The sequence below is a fragment of the Homo sapiens genome, chromosome 2, assembly GCF_000001405.40.
Source record: "Homo sapiens chromosome 2, GRCh38.p14 Primary Assembly".
NCBI lineage: Eukaryota > Metazoa > Chordata > Mammalia > Primates > Hominidae > Homo > Homo sapiens.
In genome coordinates this window covers 166,359,230-166,378,567 of record NC_000002.12, presented here as the reverse complement: position 1 = coordinate 166,378,567, position 19,338 = coordinate 166,359,230, and the positions used below count along the sequence as shown (strand labels likewise).

At 36.7% G+C, this 19,338-nt stretch overlaps 1 protein-coding gene across 7 annotated transcripts in view; it reads left to right on the top strand.

Moving 5' to 3' along the window:
- Positions 2,581 to 19,338, top strand: part of SCN9A (sodium voltage-gated channel alpha subunit 9) — a 180,803-nt gene continuing 164,045 nt past the window's right edge. For 4 of the 7 annotated variants that reach the window (XR_001738886.2, XM_011511618.3, XM_011511617.3 and 1 more), the window contains exon 1: positions 2,581 to 2,871. The gene's annotated coding sequence lies outside the window, so the exon portion shown is untranslated. The remainder of the gene's footprint in view (positions 2,872 to 19,338) is intronic. The other 3 variants (NM_002977.4, NM_001365536.1, XM_011511616.4) reach the window with 2 other exon arrangements.

The window sequence follows — 19,338 nt, the reverse complement described above, 5'->3', positions numbered from 1 at the left end:
CTAAGGTGAACTGCATTAAAATTAAAAACTTCTGCTCTGCAAAAACGGACAACAAGCCAGTGTTAGATAAATATTTGCAAAAGACACATCTGACAAATGACTGTTAACCAAAATATACAAATAAAGCTTAAAACTCAACAACAAGAAAAGAAATAACCCAATGAAAAAAATGGGCCATATACCTTAACAGACCAAAGAAGATGCACATATTGCAAATAAGCATATAAAAAGGTGATCCACATCATATATCACAGGGGAAATGCAAATCAAATAACACTTATGGTATCAACAATGGGCATGAGATACCACCACATATGTATTGGAATAACCAAAATCCAGAACACTGATGATATCAAGTTCTGGCCAAGGATGTGAGGCAACAGGAACTCTCATGTATTGCTGGTGGGAATGCAAAATGCTCCAGCCACTTTGAGGACAGTGTAGCAGTTTCTTTAAAAACTAAACATACTCTCACCATATGATCCAGCAATTGTGCTCCTTGATGTTCACCCAAAGGACTTGAAAACATGTCCACACAGTAACCTTCACAAAGATGTTTATAGAGGCTTTACGCATAATTGCTAAAACTTGGAAGCAAACAAGATGTCCTTCAGTAGGTGAATGAATAAACTATGGTACCACCAGTCAATGGAATATTATTCAGCACTGTAAAGAAATGAGCTATCAAGCTATGAAAAGCCATGGAGGAAAACTAAAAGCATATTGCTAAGTGAAAGGAGTCAATCTGAAAGGGCTATATTCTGTATTATTGCAACTATAGGATATCCTGGAGAAGGCAAAACTATAAAGACAGTAAAATGATCAGTACTTGCCAGGGGTTGAAATGGGAGATGAATAAGTGGAACACAGAGAATTCAGGAGAGAACTGAAATTACTCTGTAAGATACTGTAATGGTGGATACATGTCATTATATATTTGCCTAACCCCATAGAATGGACAACACCATGAGCTAACCCTAAATGTGAACTACAGACCTTGGGAGATAATGAAACCTCAAAGTAAGTTCATTAATTTTAACAAATGTTTCATTCTGGTGGGGAATGTTGATAATGGGGGAGGCTATTCTTGTGTGGGAGTAGCGGTTATGTGGGAAATCTCTGTACCCTCCCTTCAGTTTTGCTGTGAACCTAAAATTGCTCTAAAAATAAAATTTTAAAAATAAAAGAATGTGGCATTGCTTGCATCTAATAAAAAAGACCATTATTCCTATTGCAGTTGAACTCTTCTTCCTATATCTACCACCAATCAGGGAAGAGAAGGCGATTTGTCCAGGATATGGCACTGAGAATTATCACAAGTGAGCTAGTTCACCTTCATTGCACAGTCTCAGTCACTGAAGTTTCCTTCCTTCAATAGCACATCTTACAAGTCAAGAATGTAAGGTCCAAAGCCCCAGGACAAATCTCAGAAGCAAAGAAAGCAGCAGGGAAAAGTAGACCCTGGGATTTGATTTCCTTCCGGTTATCTCTAAGCATCATTTCCATGATAGAAGGTGTGGAAGCAAATAATAAAAGTGCCCGTCACTAGTGTTTATCCTGCAAAGTGGTCTGCCCTTTTGAGAGGCACCCTGCCCTATGGCCATCCTTTGATTTCTTCCCTTGGTGGAAATTTCCTGTTTCTCTTTGAGAAAGATAATTCAACCCTGTTTCCATTGTTCTTCCTCCCAGGCTGCTGTAGGAAAGCGCACGCACACACTCCACACAAAATGAATTTTTAAAAAATTTATTTTCACAGTCGCTCCTACCAGCTCTGAAATTCAGAACCCATATGACTGATGGCATATTCAGATAATCGGGTCCCAGGTCTGGAAAAGCAGCCTTTTCCCCACGTTTCTTTCCCCACCTAGGACCTCCTCTGATTCTTCACTGCATCTTCGAAAGAAAATGTATTATTTGCTTGCCTGGAAGACGCTGCAATTCAATTGATTTTATATATACATATATATAAAGAAAACAGAAAACATAGCCTAGATACCGGTCTTGAGCGTCACCGCCCCACTCGCGGTTGTGAGCAAAGCCCTACGGAAGAAACCAATTCCCAGCCTAGACTCTTCAGAGCCCAAGGTCGGGGAGGCGCTGGCCTGGCGGTGTTGTCTGGCTCCCCAGCCACTGCCCCAGACTCAGGGCTTTGCCATTGGTCCCCACCTCCTCTGCTCCGGAGTTTTTCTCCAGCTCCCCACCAAGCCACACAAAGTGACTTCTCGGAAACATTAGCCGATTCTGCTGAGCAGGAAGGGAGGAAAGGGATGATGGGGGCGGGGGTGAGATAAGGGAAGGGCTCTTCTGGCTGCTGGACACACACACACACACACTCAAACACACACACGCCCCACCCAATGGGTGGCCGTGGATGGCAGGTCGTGCAACCCCCTCCTCCGCCTTCTATTAGCGCATGGTGCAGAGGCTACAGCGTCGCCACCACCGCGCCCCTAGCTGGGTCCCCGCCCTGCGCCGCCCGCAGGAGTGGAGAGAGGGAGGGAGGGAGGGAGCAAGGGGTGGGGACCCGGGCGCGCTGGGAGGAGTGGAGGAGGCAAAGCGGCGCAGCTGCCCTCGGGGAGGCGGGGCTGCTACCTCCACGGGCGCGCCCTGGCAGGAGGGGCGCAGTCTGCTTGCAGGCGGTCGCCAGCGCTCCAGCGGCGGCTGTCGGCTTTCCAATTCCGCCAGCTCGGCTGAGGCTGGGCTAGCCTGGGTGCCAGTGGCTGCTAGCGGCAGGCGTCCCCTGAGCAACAGGAGCCCAGAGAAAAAGAAGCAGCCCTGAGAGAGCGCCGGGGAAGGAGAGGCCCGCGCCCTCTCCTGGAGCCAGATTCTGCAGGTGCACTGGGTGGGGATGATCGGCGGGCTAGGTTGCAAGTAAGTGCCTTTTCTTTTGCTGCTTCTGTGGGGAGGGGAGGAGAAGCCCTCGGTCTTTCGCCCGTGCTCGCCTCAACCGCCACACCCACCTGTGTCTATTTTCACATCTCGGTTCTGGAACCCTGTATTACGCCACCTGGAAAGAAGAGAGGGGAGAAGCTTGACCGGGTGGTTCCAGCAATGGGAGGAAGAAGGGCTGGAAGCGTAGTTATTTCGATAGCTGGGCAGCTCCTGTGCGGTTTTGACTCTGTGGGTTTGCTGCCAGGTTCTGAAACTGTGGAAAGGAAGGGTAGCAATGCCTGGTGGTTTACTGTCTTTTATTTCTGTTTACGCTAGCAGAGTTGTTAGATGGACTTCAATTCAAGGGGCAGCTCACATTTTTTACGAGCAAAAAGCATGTGCTGTATTTCCCATCTGCAAAGCTGAGCGTGCAGAACCAGCTTAGCAGATACAACCTGTGGGGACAGAAAAGAACCCCGCACCCCTTAAGAGCACACAAACACAAATAATTGACAGGACAGCTCTGCCCCTATTTCTCAGCGCAGATTATTTATTTATTTTTTCGAATAAGCACTTTATAGTGAAATTCAGAAAAGATGCAGAATCCTTTTAACTTTTTATCGAATTCAACTTGGGAAACTCATTTACTTTTAGGAAAAAATGGATATTTTCGTGCCTTATATTCAAGACAAAAATCAGAACAAGAAACTAGAAACATTAATGCCAGTTTTTGTGATTATAGTAAACATTTCACTCATTATTTTAGTTTTTTTTTTTTAAGTTGGAGCGTTCATAGATTATATCTACTCTGATGTTAAGAGCAATTTACATGAGAAACTTAGGGGGGTTTTTAAGAAGCTAGTGTCAGTAAGATAAAAGCCAAATCAAAGTAAGCTTTCAAGGAAGTGATAGCTTGTCAGTTACTGAATAGGAAGTCAGTGTTGGGAAGTTCAGTTCTTTTCAGAAACATATTTATTATTCTTTTCTATTTCTTCTTCCCTGTAGACAAGATAAAGATTTTCTTTCTCTTTCTTTCCTTGTTATTTAAATATATTTTATAATTTTTGCTTTAACATCAATATAAACCTATTTTATATAAACTGCAAACCAAATCCAATTATTAAACTGTTCATTTTATTGCAAATTCTTCAGATTTTTTCCACTATTTAAAAAAGTTTATAATTTTTTCTTATAATTATGGTGAGATTTTTTAAAAATTATTGATTAGTTTGAAAGCTAGTCTTATCTGATCCCTGTGTCGCAAATTTTCATGATTGTTAGACTAGCTTATCAACAACAAAACTCTAGACAGAATATGGTATTTGATGTAAAGAAGAATGTGCCCTCTATTTAGGCAACTGATAGTTTGGCTTAAGACAAGTTTTTTAAAATTTTGTAGAGGTTTAAAAGGAGGTTTCCTTAAGTAAGCCACTGTGCAGTTGTGGGACTCAGTGATGTGTTTTTACAGTGACTGGATATATGATATGCCTTGATTCCTATGGTGCAGGGCTAGGCTCACAGAGTACCTGATGCTTCTACAGAAGAAAGATGAGTCAGGTCTGGCTCTCTGCCAAAAGCATCTTGGGCCTCCTTTCCCCTAGGGCCTGCATATAATCATGGGAGCCCTTCTGTGGTAATGCTTCTATGTTTTTACTACCTGTTGCTGTGCTGAGTTTCAGAAGCAAAATAGATAAACAAATAAATAAATTCAGAAGAGCAATCAGTAGGGTTCTATTTATTTAATATAATCAACCCACTTTCTCTGTGGCAAGGAAAAAAGTAGAATTTTTCATTTTACATGAATAATAAAATCTATTTTTTATCCAATTTCTATTCCTATTAGTTATGCAAAAGAGTGTGAAGTGCTAGAAGGATTTATATGGTACTTTTCTAAGACAAGTCATGATCTTGTAAAAGAGCTTAAAGTTTATTGATGTAAATGGAACATTCTAGATGTCATAATGATAATAATTTATGACTTTCCCTAAAACTCTGTCTCAGATTCTTTCCTCCCATCTTCATTATCTGAATAAATGCCTTCACCATCCAAGTATTGAAATCACCTTTGATTGCTCTCTTCCTTATTACTCCATTTCAGCCCTTTCCAGCCTGTAAGTAGATCTATCAATCTTATCTCCCAAACTTATTTCTATTTCATCATACGTCTCAGATGCCTCTCATTCACCCTCTTTTCTGTATCTACACGGCCACCAAATTAGTTCAGGTCATCATCATAATTTACTTGGAATCCTGCCACAGCCTCCATATCAATCTCTCCACTTCTGTAATTTTCTCCCCTGCAATTCATTCTCTATACAAAGCAATACCATCCTGTCTCCCCTAACAAACATTGGCTCACAACTGCATTTAAAAAAAAAAAAAAAGAGGAAGAAGAAGAGGAGAAGAAGAAATAAACATGGCAACACAGAGACCAATTAGCAACAACAGTAAATGCCTTTCCTCAGCATATGGTTTACTCTCTGTTCTGTCCCTTCTCTCCAACCTCACCAGAACCTATTCTCTTCTCATTAAGGTGCTCCTGCCCAGGTCGTGGCTAAAACACATGAAACAATAGCACTCTTTAAGGCCTTTTCAAATGCTGTTCCCAATGCCTGAACTCTATGCGTGCTTACTCCTTCTTAAACTTTAAATCTCAACTCGAGGTTTTTTTGTTTTGGAAAGATCATTTTTGATCATCTTGTTAAAAGTAGGTTGTCCCGTGTTGGTCTTGATGTTGGAACCTTGTTTCTTTCATACTGCTTGTTACAGCATGCAGGTATTTTGTGAATTTGCATACCAAATACTCCAAGGGAACCCAGACTATGTCTTCATTGTTGACTTAGCTTCCAGAATAGTGCCTGGCATCAAGTAGTAGGGGGTTCGTAGATATTTATATAAATAATAAAATACAAAAATATGGATTCTTCCAGAATAAAGCATATTAACCCTGGAAACATGAATTTTGTGATTCTATTTTTTATTTGTCAAGCATTTAGTATTTTTACAATATCATGGTATGATATTGAGGAGGTAAAATTAAAATATCCTGAGATGTATTCTCTCTTTTATCAGTGTAGGTGATAATGTACTTAAAGGTAAGTAATTTGTAATGCATTCTTAGAAAGGCAGTGACCACAAATGTATTAAAATATATTTTAAGAAAAAATTGGATTGCATAAACTAATATGGTTATAAGTGACTCCAAATCTAAAATGATAACCTTGTTAGGTTTAAATCTGTATCATCTAACAGAAATTTGAGGGCCAGTCAATAGTCACTGACTATGAATTTAAAATATTCTTTTAAAATAAACATAGATGCTTATGTGAGCTCAGTTGATAGAAATGTAGTCAGATGAGGCGGAGGCCATAAGTTAGGTTTCCACACGGTCTAAATTGATGTTTGCCCCAGGTACAAAGGGCACATTATCCAAATATTTGAAGCATTCTCTAAGGAAGGTTCAGAGAGGCAATGTGGGCTTATCCATGAAGACCCATCACTGTTATTAGAGTGGAAGTAAGGACTGCAAACTTCATGCTCATAAATGATTGTGTCATTTTCATACTAGAATTTTACCACACACACACTCACACTCACACACACACACACACACACTTTGTATGGTGATTTGCCTCCCCCCTTTATTTTTGCAGACTATGCTTAAAGATATTAAACAAACAACTAGTTTTGCTATTAACATTTGGTTGAAAATTTAGCTTTCAATTAGGTGACAAACTGATTAATGATTTTTTTATGTAGCAAATGGCCAGCCACAGATTTTTGGTAAATAATTTGGTTACCACATTACATCTTGAAGGACTAAATTATTTCACTAATTGTGAGCAGGGATTTTTAAAAATTTGCTCTGAAGAGGACATATTGTGGATGTTGTATTGGAGGGCATCTGTGTACTAATTGAAGATGGTCCTTCATATTACACATCACAAATTAGCTAATTTATTCTTTACAGAAGTATTATGACATCTTCCTTTAGAACTGTGTAGAGTTAGATTACCACTTGAGAGGCAAGGTCATATTAAAATAGATATTATAAAATTGTATAAAAATATTTTATATGAGGATTTATGAGAGCATCCAGAGAATGTGGGTAGAATACTTTTGTGGAATATGAGATAACAATTTTGGTGTCCTGCCATTCTAAAAAATGAAATTTCTTCATTGAAGGTATCACTTACCCTTTCCTCTGCCTTGCTGGAAGGAAATGGCTTTAGGCAAAAGAAAAAGCCATCAGCTCTTGGCAGCTAAAGGTGGAATGAAGTTTGGAGGAATGAAACCCTTCTGGGTGGTGAGGAAAAATGCCAGGCCATGATAAAGTGGGGAAGGAAGAGGGGAATGCCTTGAACAGTGCCAGTAAGCATAATCTGCCACAGACAAGTTTGAATTGACATATGTAGAACTGAATTATTCTATATCTTTTTAGTTCTATAGAGAAAACCGTTCTTTCCACGTCTCTTTTTAAAATAACAACTTACTGTAAGCAAAAAATATGTTGTTGTTGTTTCTTTAACACAGGAGATGAACTATCTTTAGATTTTTTAAAGTGATATAACATGGAGCCAAAAATGCCATATATTACTGTTGAAACCTAACGTTACTTTAACTGTAATTTCCTTGCTATTCATTTTATGATTTCCTCTTGTTATGTCAAGTGTTAGAGAGACTGCTATTACTGATCATAAATTTCTTTAAAATGTCTCCTTGGATTTTTTACAAAGCTTTCTGAATCATTTATCAAAATACAATAAAGCTCTAATTGCACCTAGGATTGTTCACTTGGAAATTTAGAAAGAGTGTGTACATTTACAATTAAGTTAGCATCCTGCCCTGCAATGAATGCCCTTTTTCTTTTTTTTTTTCCTTCTTCTCTCCTACATCTCATCTTCCAAATGTTTGATATGTACGCCAGTAAGGCAAATTTTACTCCACTTTTAGGTCAAACTATTAGTACAAATAATTGGAAAATTGAGCCTCTAAAGAAAGATAAATAAGATTAGAAGCATGCATTAAAATATAAGTATTAAAAACATTCCCATAAGATTTTTAATAAAAATTTTATGTGCTATATGCACACCTAGACTCCCTGTATTATCTGATTTTTAAAGATTCTTTTTTTTTTTTATTTTTTATTTTTTTGAGACGGAGTCTCGCTCTGTCGCCCAGGCTGGAGTGCAGTGGCGCGATCTTGGCTCACTGCAAGCTCCGCGTCCTGGGTTCACACCATTCTCCTGCCTCAGCCTCCGAGTAGCTGGGACTACAGGCGCCTACCACCGTGCCCGGCTAATGTTTTTGTATTTTTAGTAGAGACGGAGTTTCACCATGTTAGCCAGGATGGTCTCAATCTCCTGACCTAGTGATCCGCCCGCCTCGACCTCCCAAAGTGCTGGGATTACAAGCATGAGCCACCGCGCTCAGCCCATTATCTAATGATGATGATGATGATTATTATTATTATTATTATTATTATTATTATTATTATTATTATTTTAACTGGGGGTAATTTCACTGGATGTGGTATCTGTCAACTTTTACTAGTTGCTCCTACACTATATGTTTTTAAATCCAATGTAATTATTTTAAAAATATGTCATCTTCTTGAGAGTCTATACTTTAGAATTTGAAAAAAGAAGTAAATGTAGATATTCAAATCCATGCAGATGAGTAAAACAGGGAAAAATGAGAAAAATGTTTCATGATAATAAAATATTATGTCAGGCACAGCTGGTCACCCCTGCAATCCCATCACTTTGGGAGGCCGAGGCTGGAGGATTGCTTGATCCAGGAGTTCTAGATCAGCCTGGGCAATAAAAGGAAAATCTGTTTCTACAAAAAAATTAAAATTTATATTTCATATATTGATTTAAGCTCTACTAAATGACTATTCTTTCAAGTCTAATAGACAGTGTATCTTTTAGGGCTCAGAGTAAAGATAATTTATTGAGGACATTTTGAATAGGATGAATTAAATGCTTTATTGGTAAGTGATGCCTTTATCTGAGTGATTCCTTCTAGGTAAATATTATGGGACCAATCTTTGTAAATGATCTTTGCATGGAACAAAATATTATAAAGTTGAAGTGATGAATTTGTTTCCCTCTTAACAAAATATGTATTCTTGTTACCCCATTTACAAACTTGGCTCATGGTAATTCAGGTAGGAAAAAGGGAAGTGGCCTACTCAGGGATCAACTGGGAATAAGGTTCTTATAATCCCATGAGATCAGCTGACAGACTTTTAGGAATGAACACTTGTAGAACAGCTAGGCAGAGAAGTGCCTTTCAAAATTTATATTACATCTCTACTATATTTCAGACTGTAAAATATTTTTATAAAGTGTTAAAAGCACAGATAAATAAATTTGAGTTCAAATTAGTATAGTGAAAGGAAGTTTATTTTTCCCAAATATTTCCTTTACTCAGTATGTGGTCTTAGTCAAATATTAATTTCTTAAATATTGCTTTCCTGTAAATTAGTAGTATTTACTTCTAAGGACTATATTATATGTTATATATAGAGTATATTATATATTAGGAGATATATATGTATATACATCGTAATTTGTTTTTTCCAAAACAGCCACTTTAGTGTCTTACACATGATAAGTAGATATGAGTAGATGTTCAATAATGGTATCTAGGCATTTAATAACTTAGAATATTATAATCAAAATGCATTCTTTTTTTTTTTTTTGAGACCGAGTTTCACTCTTGTTGCCCAGGCTGGAGTGCAATGGTACGATCTTGGCTCACTGCAACTTCCGCCTCCCAGGTTCAAGCAATTCTCCTGCCTCAGCCTCCCGAGTAGCCGGGATTACAGGCATGAGCCACCTCGCCTGGCTAATTTTGTATTTTTAGTAGAGATAGGATTTCACCAGGTTGGGCAGGCTGGTCTTGAACTCCTGAGTTCAGGTGATCTGCCCGCCTAGGCCCCCCAAAGTGCTGGGATTATAGGCGTGAGCCACCATGCCCAGCCTCTTTTTTTTTTTTTTTTTAATTAAGTTTCAAGGTACATTTGCAGGATGTGCAGGTTTTTTACATAGGTAAAGGTGTGCCGGTTTCACTCTGTTGCCCAGGCTGGAGTGCAGTGGTACGATGTTGGCTCGCTGCAACCTCTGCCTCCCAGATTCAAGTGATTCTCCTGCCTCAGCCTCCCAAGTAGCTGGGATTACAGGCATGTACCACCATGCCCGGCTAATTTTGCAGTTTTAGTAGAGATGGGGTTTCACCATGTTGGCCAGACTAGTCTCGAATTCCTGACCTCAGGTGATCTGCCCACCTCGGCCTTCTAAAGTGTTGGGATTACAGGTGTAAGCCACTGTGCAAGGCCAGCAATTATGCTGTTACAAGGAAAAATACATACGGAAAAGTTTACATCTTGCTAACATTACTGATAATATTAATGTAACAGTCTTATGTATGGACGTCTCCTTAATGCTAACTGAGCAGTTTGTTAAGGGATTTTCATATGCTCCGTTTAAATCCTCATGACCACCATTTGAGGTGAGAACACTAAGGCTCAGAAATTACCTAACCTTTCCAAAGACTCACAATGGTTACTAAACTTGAATAACATACACATTTCTTTTATAGGAAAGAAATCTTATATATTCCAAGAATACGTTTGCACATACCCCACACAGATATACCTGGTGGTTACGCTACCAAGCATTCTATCAAATATGTTTAACCCTTAATGGAGCTAAAATAAAATTACATTTGCAATCAAACATACTAAATCATGTAATTACAGCTAATAGAAAACAACAAAAAAAGAAAGATGGATGACTGTTTCAATTTTCTTCTTGGACACCAATTCCTGAGGGGTATATTGTGTTAAGTCAAAATAGAGATTTTGGTGGAAGTTTGAAGACATTATGAAAAGAGTACCTATGCATTTAAAGTGTTTTTGAAGTTGTTTTATAGGTTGAATGACTTCACTTTCCTGGTCTAGGAGTATTATTGCACTACTGTGACTTGACTTTGCTATGATTCGCATATTTTGTTTTAACATTAAAAAACTGAAATGGGAAAAAGGCCTTCCCCAAGGTAGAAAAGATTTGAAAAAAGAGGAATGGTGTAATTAAAAGGGAAATATGTATAAAATGTCTAGGGTGGGCCAGGCGCGGTGGCTTACGCCCGTAATCCAGCACTTTGGAAGGCTGAGGCAGGCTGATCACTTGAGGTCAGGAGTTGGAGACCAGCCTGGTCAACATAGTGAAACCCCATCTCTACTAAAAAAAATACAAAAACTATCCAGGCATGGTGGCCAGCACCTGTAGTCCCAGCTTCTCGGGAGGCTGAGGCAGGAGAATTGCCTGAACCTGGGAGATGGAGGTTGCAGTGAGCTGAGATCGAGCCACTGCACTCCTGCCTGGGCAACAGAGCGAGACTCAGTCTCAAGAAAAAAAATTAAAAAAATGTCTAGGATGAAGTTTATTCTGAAATGGAGAAGAAACAGGGAATGAAGTTACACACGTTGAGATCCTGGAGCTAGCAGATGGAGAAGTATGAAAAGCAAAGTGATCTTGTGCAGGATAAGATGATGGTGTTCATTGGAAGTATTTATATATCTTGGAAAATAAAAATTTAGATATTCTATATTGGAGGAGTACAAATATTTAGAGCATCACAAATTGATACACACAAATGAAACCTAAATCACAGTACTTATTGTCATGAAGACTCAATTATCTAAGTCAGTTAAATTGTCTAACATCAGTAATGCAAGAAGTTGACTTTTAAGGGTTTTAAAACAGTTTTGGAAAACTAATTTATTTTACATTATGTTTATAATAATTTTTGCATGCAATTTTTTTAAATATCTATTATCCACTTAGATACTGTACTTTGGGATATAAAAACCATGGGAAATTTGGCCCTTGAGTTCTATGATACGTCTCAATCTATTTTAGTGATTTGTGGATTGGTAGCTTATCCTCTAGACTAAGTGGTTAAGGTTTTATCAGCACTGCAATGAGATAATCATCTCACACCTGTTAAGATGGCTGTTATAAAAAAGTGAAAGGTGTTGTTGAGAATGTGAAGAAAATGAAAGCATTGTCCACTGTTGGTGGGAATGTATAATAGTGTAGCTGCTATGGAAAATAATATGGAAGTTCCTCAAAAAATTAAAAATAGAACTACCATATGATCCAGCAATTGAAATCAGAATCTCAAAGAGATATATGCACTTCTGTGTTTACTGCAGCATTATTCACAATAGCAAAAATATGAAAACAACCCAAATGATCATCAACAGATAAAAGAGTAAAGAAAATGTGGTCTGTATATAAAATAGAATATTATCTAGCCTTAAAAAAAGAAGGAAATCTTACTATTTGTGACAGCATGCATGGACCTAGAAGAGACATGCTAAGTGAAATAAGTAAAGGGACACGAAAACTTTTGACAGTGACAGATATGCTTAACAGGTAGACTGGCAGATAAGAAAAAACAAAGTTAAAGCTGAAATTTCCAACTGATTTATCTTAGCCTAGGGATTAATCATTAGATCCGGTCTAGTTGGCCTCCAAAATGTGTAGGTCAGGAGTTGGCATCCAAGTTGGTATTGGTGCCATTGAGGTTTGTAGGGAGGGAAGACCTGGCAGAGATCCCAAGGGCAGTGGTAAGCGGCTGCTGAGTCCCTCCAGGCCAGTTCCAAGAACTCACAACCTCACTCCTCTCAGCATTTATACTCTTCCTGGAATTTAAAAGCAATTCCTTCTTTCCTTCCCTCTTTCTTTTTTCCCTCTCTTCCTTCTTCATAAAGTTTTATTGTAGACATCAGATATAGCAATGAACAACACATGGAGATGTGACGCCGATTTTAAGAGATAATGAAGAGATAAATATTCGCCACTATCCATCATTGTACCATAAGATATGCTGTGAAAAACAATAAAACAGGACAGAGAATTGAGAGAAGGAGGTATTATTTAAAGTGGTCTGAAAAATTTTATACAGGGTATTTGAGTAGAGACATGAAGTAAATGAAAAACTAAGGGAGCTAGCTAAACAACTGAAGAATCATTCTAGTCACAAAAAACAGCAATTGCAAAAGCCCTAAGGCATATTTGATGTATTTAAGGAGAAGCAAGAAAACCAGCATGGTTGAAATACAGACAGCAAGATTGAAAGCAGAAGATGAGGGTTTTTCTTGATTTTGTAGGGATTACTAACCTGCGTCGAGGGCTGCGTGATAAACCAATGCTAAAATTACCAGCATGGGTACAACTTTGGAAAGGGATGAGTGTGCTCTTTTTTAACTGGATCTCTTTCTGGACATGGGTAACATAAAACCAGAAAAAAATGTTTGAGAAGTTTCTAATTTCTATACAAAAATAATGTTTTTGTCTTTTTTTGTGATTTAGATGTAAATGTATATGTACATGCATGTATATGTATTTATGTACTGATTTACTATTTATGTATATGTAAATGTATTTATATTTAAATGTCCTATATTCTCTTCCTGTCTGTAATGGATTGGATTCTTGGAACCTCTTACTATTTGGGGCAGGGGGCAGGGCTAATAAGACAAAGATTACAATTGAGAGTAACTTTAAATGTTTGCATTTTGGAAACTTAATGGTGGGAGTACAGTAATATTTTGTATATTTCGATCAATTTTGATGTTTATTATATGATTATTTCTCATGAAATAGTGGTACTGCATAGATATAAATGACTACTGCCTAGCAAAACAGATACCAAGGAGACACCGCATGTTGTCAGGGTTGACCGGTTGCTAACTGCTGTGATTTTGTTCTCTTACTGACTCTTTCTGCCTTACGGATCTCAAAACACGCTAGTGAATTTAAAAATTTATATTTTGGTAAAATATATATAACAAAATTTACCATTTTAACCATTTCAAATGTACAGTTTAGAGGTATTAAGCACATTCATGTTGTACACGATCACCACCATCCATCTTCAGAACATTTTCATCATTCCAAACAAAAACTCGGTAACTATTAAACAATGACTCCACACTCCTCTCTTCCCCTATCACCCAGTAACCACTATTCTACTTTCTCTATGAATGTGACTATTCTAGGTACCTCATGTAAGTGGAACCCTATAGCATTTGTCTTTTCATGTCTGGCTTATTTCACTTAGCATAATGTTTTCAAGGTGTTCATCCGGGTCGTAGCATATATCAGAATTTTATTCATTTTTAAGGCTGTGTAGTATTTTATTGTGCATTTATACACATTTTGTTTATCTGTTCATCTGTTGATAGACATTTGGGTTGTTTTCACTTTTTGGCTACTGTGATTAGTGCTGCTATGAACATTGGTGTACAGATAACTACATGCGTCCCTTCTATTAATTGTTTAGGATGTATACCCTAAAGTAGAATTGCTGGATCATGTGATATTTCTGTTTAATTTTTTGAGGAACCACCACAGTGTTTTCCACAGCAGCTGCACTATTTTATATTCCTATCAGCAATGCACAAGGGTTACAATTTCTCCACACCCTTGTCAATGTTTCTTTTCCTTTTTTTTTTTTAAACAATAACCATCCGACCAAGTGTGAAGTGATATTTTATTGTGGTTTTGATTTGCATTTCCCAAATGATCGGTGATGTTGAGCATCTTCCCATGTACTGATTGACTTTCTTTGGAAAAATGTCTTTTCAAATCCTTTGTTCATTTTTAATCTGCTTGTTTATTTTTTGTTGAGGAGTAGGAATTTTTTACATATTGCCAATGTTAATCCCTTATCAGATATATGATTTGCAATTATTTTCTCCCATCATATGGATTGCCTTTTCACTTTCTAGTAGTGTTCTTTGATGCACAACAGTTTCAATTTTGACAAAATCCAATTCAGCTCTTTTTTTCTTTTGTTGACCGTGCTTTTGGTTCCATGTCCATGTGCCAAATCTAATGTCTCGAAGATTTTTCCCTATGATATTTTCTTAGAAATTTACAGTTCTAACTCTGACGTTTAGGTCTGTGATTCATTGGTGATTTTTTAAAAATTCCTATATAATTCGTAGACTCTAAGAGAGTTTCCAGCTTTCCCATACCCATTGTCCCCAGAGATCTGGTTTTTAGTCTGAATGTGCCTTACTCTGAACATGTGCCTTCCATTTCAAGAACTCCCATTTCATTTTGTTTTGTTCTGTTTTTTCTTTTATACCAGTATTAAAACTTTTGAGTTGTTGTATAAATATACTAGCAATTTAGGAGAATTCCTGATGGGAAAGAATATCCTTGCCTAGCTAGTTAATGAATTTAGGGACCCTTCATTTTCTAATCCTAGATATGATTAAATCAAACAAGGATTCATTGTGCTGTAGTTGTAATCCACACAGACCATTTTACAAGGCTTTGCACAGAGAAGGTGCTTAATACTTGAGTAAACAAATTGAATTAATGAGTAAGAAAGAAAAGCTATCTTGTTTTCTCAACGGTCAAGTAGATCAATGATTTCTACTATTTAGAATCTTAGATTTATTTTAATAAAGCAAGTTCAAAAATCTCCTCTCTCTGTTAATTTTTAGTAAAGTCACTTATTTTTCACTCAGTTTTGTTAAAGTGTTTTCAGAAGAGTTTGTTACCGAAAACTGAAGTTTTAAGGTTAGTGTTTATACCACAGATATTTCTTGTTTTTAGACAATCCTTGTGGAGGTTAAGTCCCCTAGGCAATACCTTTTCCCACTGGGGAGTTACAAGCAAATGAAAAATGGTGACTATTTATGGAAACTCCAGGTCACTAAGTAAATTTTGCATTTTCATGAAAATATGACATATGGACATTTAAAAAAATGAACAGGTCAATTCATCAGTTAGAATAATAAAAAGAAGTCTGTAAATAAAAGTTAAGCACCTTTGTCATTGAATTGTTGTGAACCGTTTTTGCCTATGCACTTGCTTTATCTCAGAATCCAAGCCTCCTGGTCAAAGTTATATTCCTAATAAATTTAAAAATAATAATTTAATAATTTTAATTCCTTCTGGAATATAAATTTGATCAGGAGTCTTGGATTCTGAGATAAAGCAAATGTTTAGGCAAAACACTTCCTTCTGGAATATAAATTTGAGGAAGGATAGGAATTATTTTCTTCCTATTCATTTGTGATCCTGTGATTGTTATCTAATTTGGAATATTCTTCATGACTCCAATCCTATTTATATCTGTGAGGTTCTGAAAATTCTGCCCCAAAATGGCAGAAAGTAAGAAATACTATCACACATTTAATTCACCCTTAAAAAAATAGCCATACCCTTTATCTTTGAATATATTTTTAACAACAACAACAGAAAGAGAATGCATTTTAAACAATATCACATGAGTTTCATCATATTCCCAGATTATGGTGAGGGTTCCTAGATACCTTGCCATAATCACAGCCTTTAGTTCCAAGAGAGAGCAGAGAAATAAGAAACACAGGAAGTCATATCTATGAACATGTTAGTTTGCAAAAGGTTTGTTAGTAAACTCATGTTATTTATACCATAGTACTTTACCATCTCCAGATGAATTTCCACTAAATAAACTGTTCCTTTAGACTCCTCAAACCAGATTACCCCCTTCCTTTGCTAATATAGATTCTCAAACAATGTCTTCATCAAAAATCTTATGAGTAGATGTCACTAGTTTTGACAATGTCCACAAATGTTCCAAAGAATACTTTGGCATGCATGCTTCTTAACTCACTTATTTTGATATTGAATTAAAGGGCTTTTAACAATTCCTGCCCCATCAGGAATATTTCATCAGCAGCTGTTACTGTGCTTGGATTTTGCCTTCTTGAATGAATACCTAGTCTTTTCTCACTTTAGCATTAAGTTCTGGAGCATCCGCTGCTAATGAAAAATCCTCTGACTCATGCTAGAGCATTTTCATTTTTTTAAAAAAACAATGTTCCTTGTATCTTGCTGGCTATTGCCTAAGCTCATTATTTTAAACTTTTGCATAATTCTGCTCAGTCCTAGAGGGTCATCATTACTGTCAATGATTAAACTTTTATGCACTTGCCACATTTATTATTTTCTTACTTTCGATCATTTTATTATTTTTCTTTGGTTCCCATGATATTCCAATGTTTTTGTTATTAAATCTTTCAACATCCTCGGTGTGTTCAGTGTATCCACATTTATCAAACCTGATGGATTTAAGAATTTATATAACCTTGAAAGCAAGGCCCACATCCTGTAGACACTGAATAAACTAATGAACTTTGTATTGGCAGGACTAAAATGGCTGTGTGTGGCATATATTGCCACCTGTTGGTAGAAGGCAATGTAGTCTTGGTTTTGCTATAAGCATACATTTTAGTCTTTAAAATATTCTGAGTTGAAAGCTCCCTAAGAAGAAAAGGTTTTGTATATGCAATACAAAAGCTTTTCTATTATAAAGTAAGCAAATATATTCTCGTTCCTAAGAACATTAGCTTTAGGTATACAAAATCAACTTAGAAGAAAGTTGCTAAAATCACTAATAATAACAGTTACAATGTATTGTGCACTGAAAGTGTAACAGGAAATGTGCTAAGTTATTAAAATTCAGTGTCTAATTTTTTCCACTAAAATAACCTTAAAGGATTATCATTTTCAGCTCCGGTTTGCTATATAAGAACTGAGCTTTAGAGAAGTTAATTAAATTCCCCAAGGACATAAGCTAGTAAGCAGTAGAGATGGGATGTGAACCCATGCCTCTCTCACTCTGGAGCCATGAATTTAACAACTGGGTTATGCTGTCTTACTATTTTACTGCAGATCTATATTTTAAATTAAAGCCATAAACATGTTTGGCAAGATAAAACATAGGTAACAAATATACTCCACATAAGATTTTCGTAAGGTTTTGTGTTTATTGGCCAACTCATGGCTTATTATTTAAAAATTTCAGTCTGTATAGGGAAGAAGGATAATAATCTTGCTGTTATTTATTTAGCCTAGGCACTGTGGTAGGCACTTTACCAAAACCATTTCTATTCTACATGATAACTTTATAAGACAGATATATTTCTCTCTTTCATTTATGGGGAATTTGCATAATGCTGCAGAGCTAATTATATGGAATAAACAGGAAATTCAAACCTAAGTCTGCCTGGTGCCAAAGTTATTACTATGCACTTTCTCCTAAATCATGTTGATGTTTTGAGGGAAGTGGATACATGTATAATAATATTGGAAATACATTTTCTCTCTAATTATTTAAATAAGGGTATAGAACCTGTTCTGCAGCCATAAGTCTGTGATAATTTTGTGCTCTCAATAAAGTCTTAACTAACAGAGAGATGGGATTTAACGTGAACTAAGAAGTATTTTCTGTCTTCCTTTATACATGCTGTACAGATAAGACTTTATGAATTTTTTATTAAAACGTTCAGATATGCCAGCAAATGTTGACACTAATCTTAAGTTTTCCCAGGGTAATACACTTCTTAAGATTATAAACTTTAATTTCTTTTTTTTTTTTTCTTTTTTTTTTTTTTTTGAGACAGAGTTTCGCTCTTGTTGCCCAGGCTGGAGTGCAATGGCCCGATCTCAGCTCACTACAATCCACCTCCCGGGTTCAAGCAGTTCTCCTGCCTCAGCCTCCTGAGTAGCTGGGATTACAGGCATGCGCCACCATGACCAGCTAATTTTGTATTTTTAGTAGAGACGGGGTTTCTCCATGTTGGTCAGGCTGGTCTTGAATTCCTGACCTCAGGTGATCCGCCTGCCTCGGCTTCCCAAAGTGCTGGGATTATAGGCGTGAGCCACCACGCCCGGCAAACTTTCATTTCTTATAAACTTGAGGAATACTATATTTTAAAAGGCTATACATAAGACTAACTTCTATCTTAATAATAAAATAATAAATATAATATAAATGATTATTACAGGGTATTATGAAATACCCAAATCACAATATTTTAATAATCATAGAATTTAGAAATAGTCCCTATCAGTTGTCTGAATATAAAATTATCGCATATACAGCTTAATTTGTTTTGCATACCAGTTGTTCAACTACTATAAAATGCCATAAAATTGAATGATTTTAGGACATGAAATATTGAACTACTCTTGTTGAAGTTATTAAACTGATTTGCCATCTACCAAATTAAGCATTTCTAAGAAATAATAATTATTTTAAGAATTTATTTACATGATTAACATAATGTTACTTATGAAGGATGCAATGGTAAGATTTCAGCAATCAGGCAAGTATTTAATGAAAAGTATTTGGTTTCATATATATTGTATTTGATTTCATATATATTGATACACTTAACATTAGAGGTTCTAAAATGAGTAGCCAGCCTGCCTGTTTTTCTTGTGATATTATACTTGGCATACTTTGTTTTTATAATCTAAAGAAGAGGTATTAAAAAAAGAGTCAGAGTGCTTACCATTGGCAGTTCCTTTTAACCTTTTAATTTATAAAGACATTGCAATCCCAATGAAAATAAAAATAGAAATTTTCCCATTTGGAATTAGA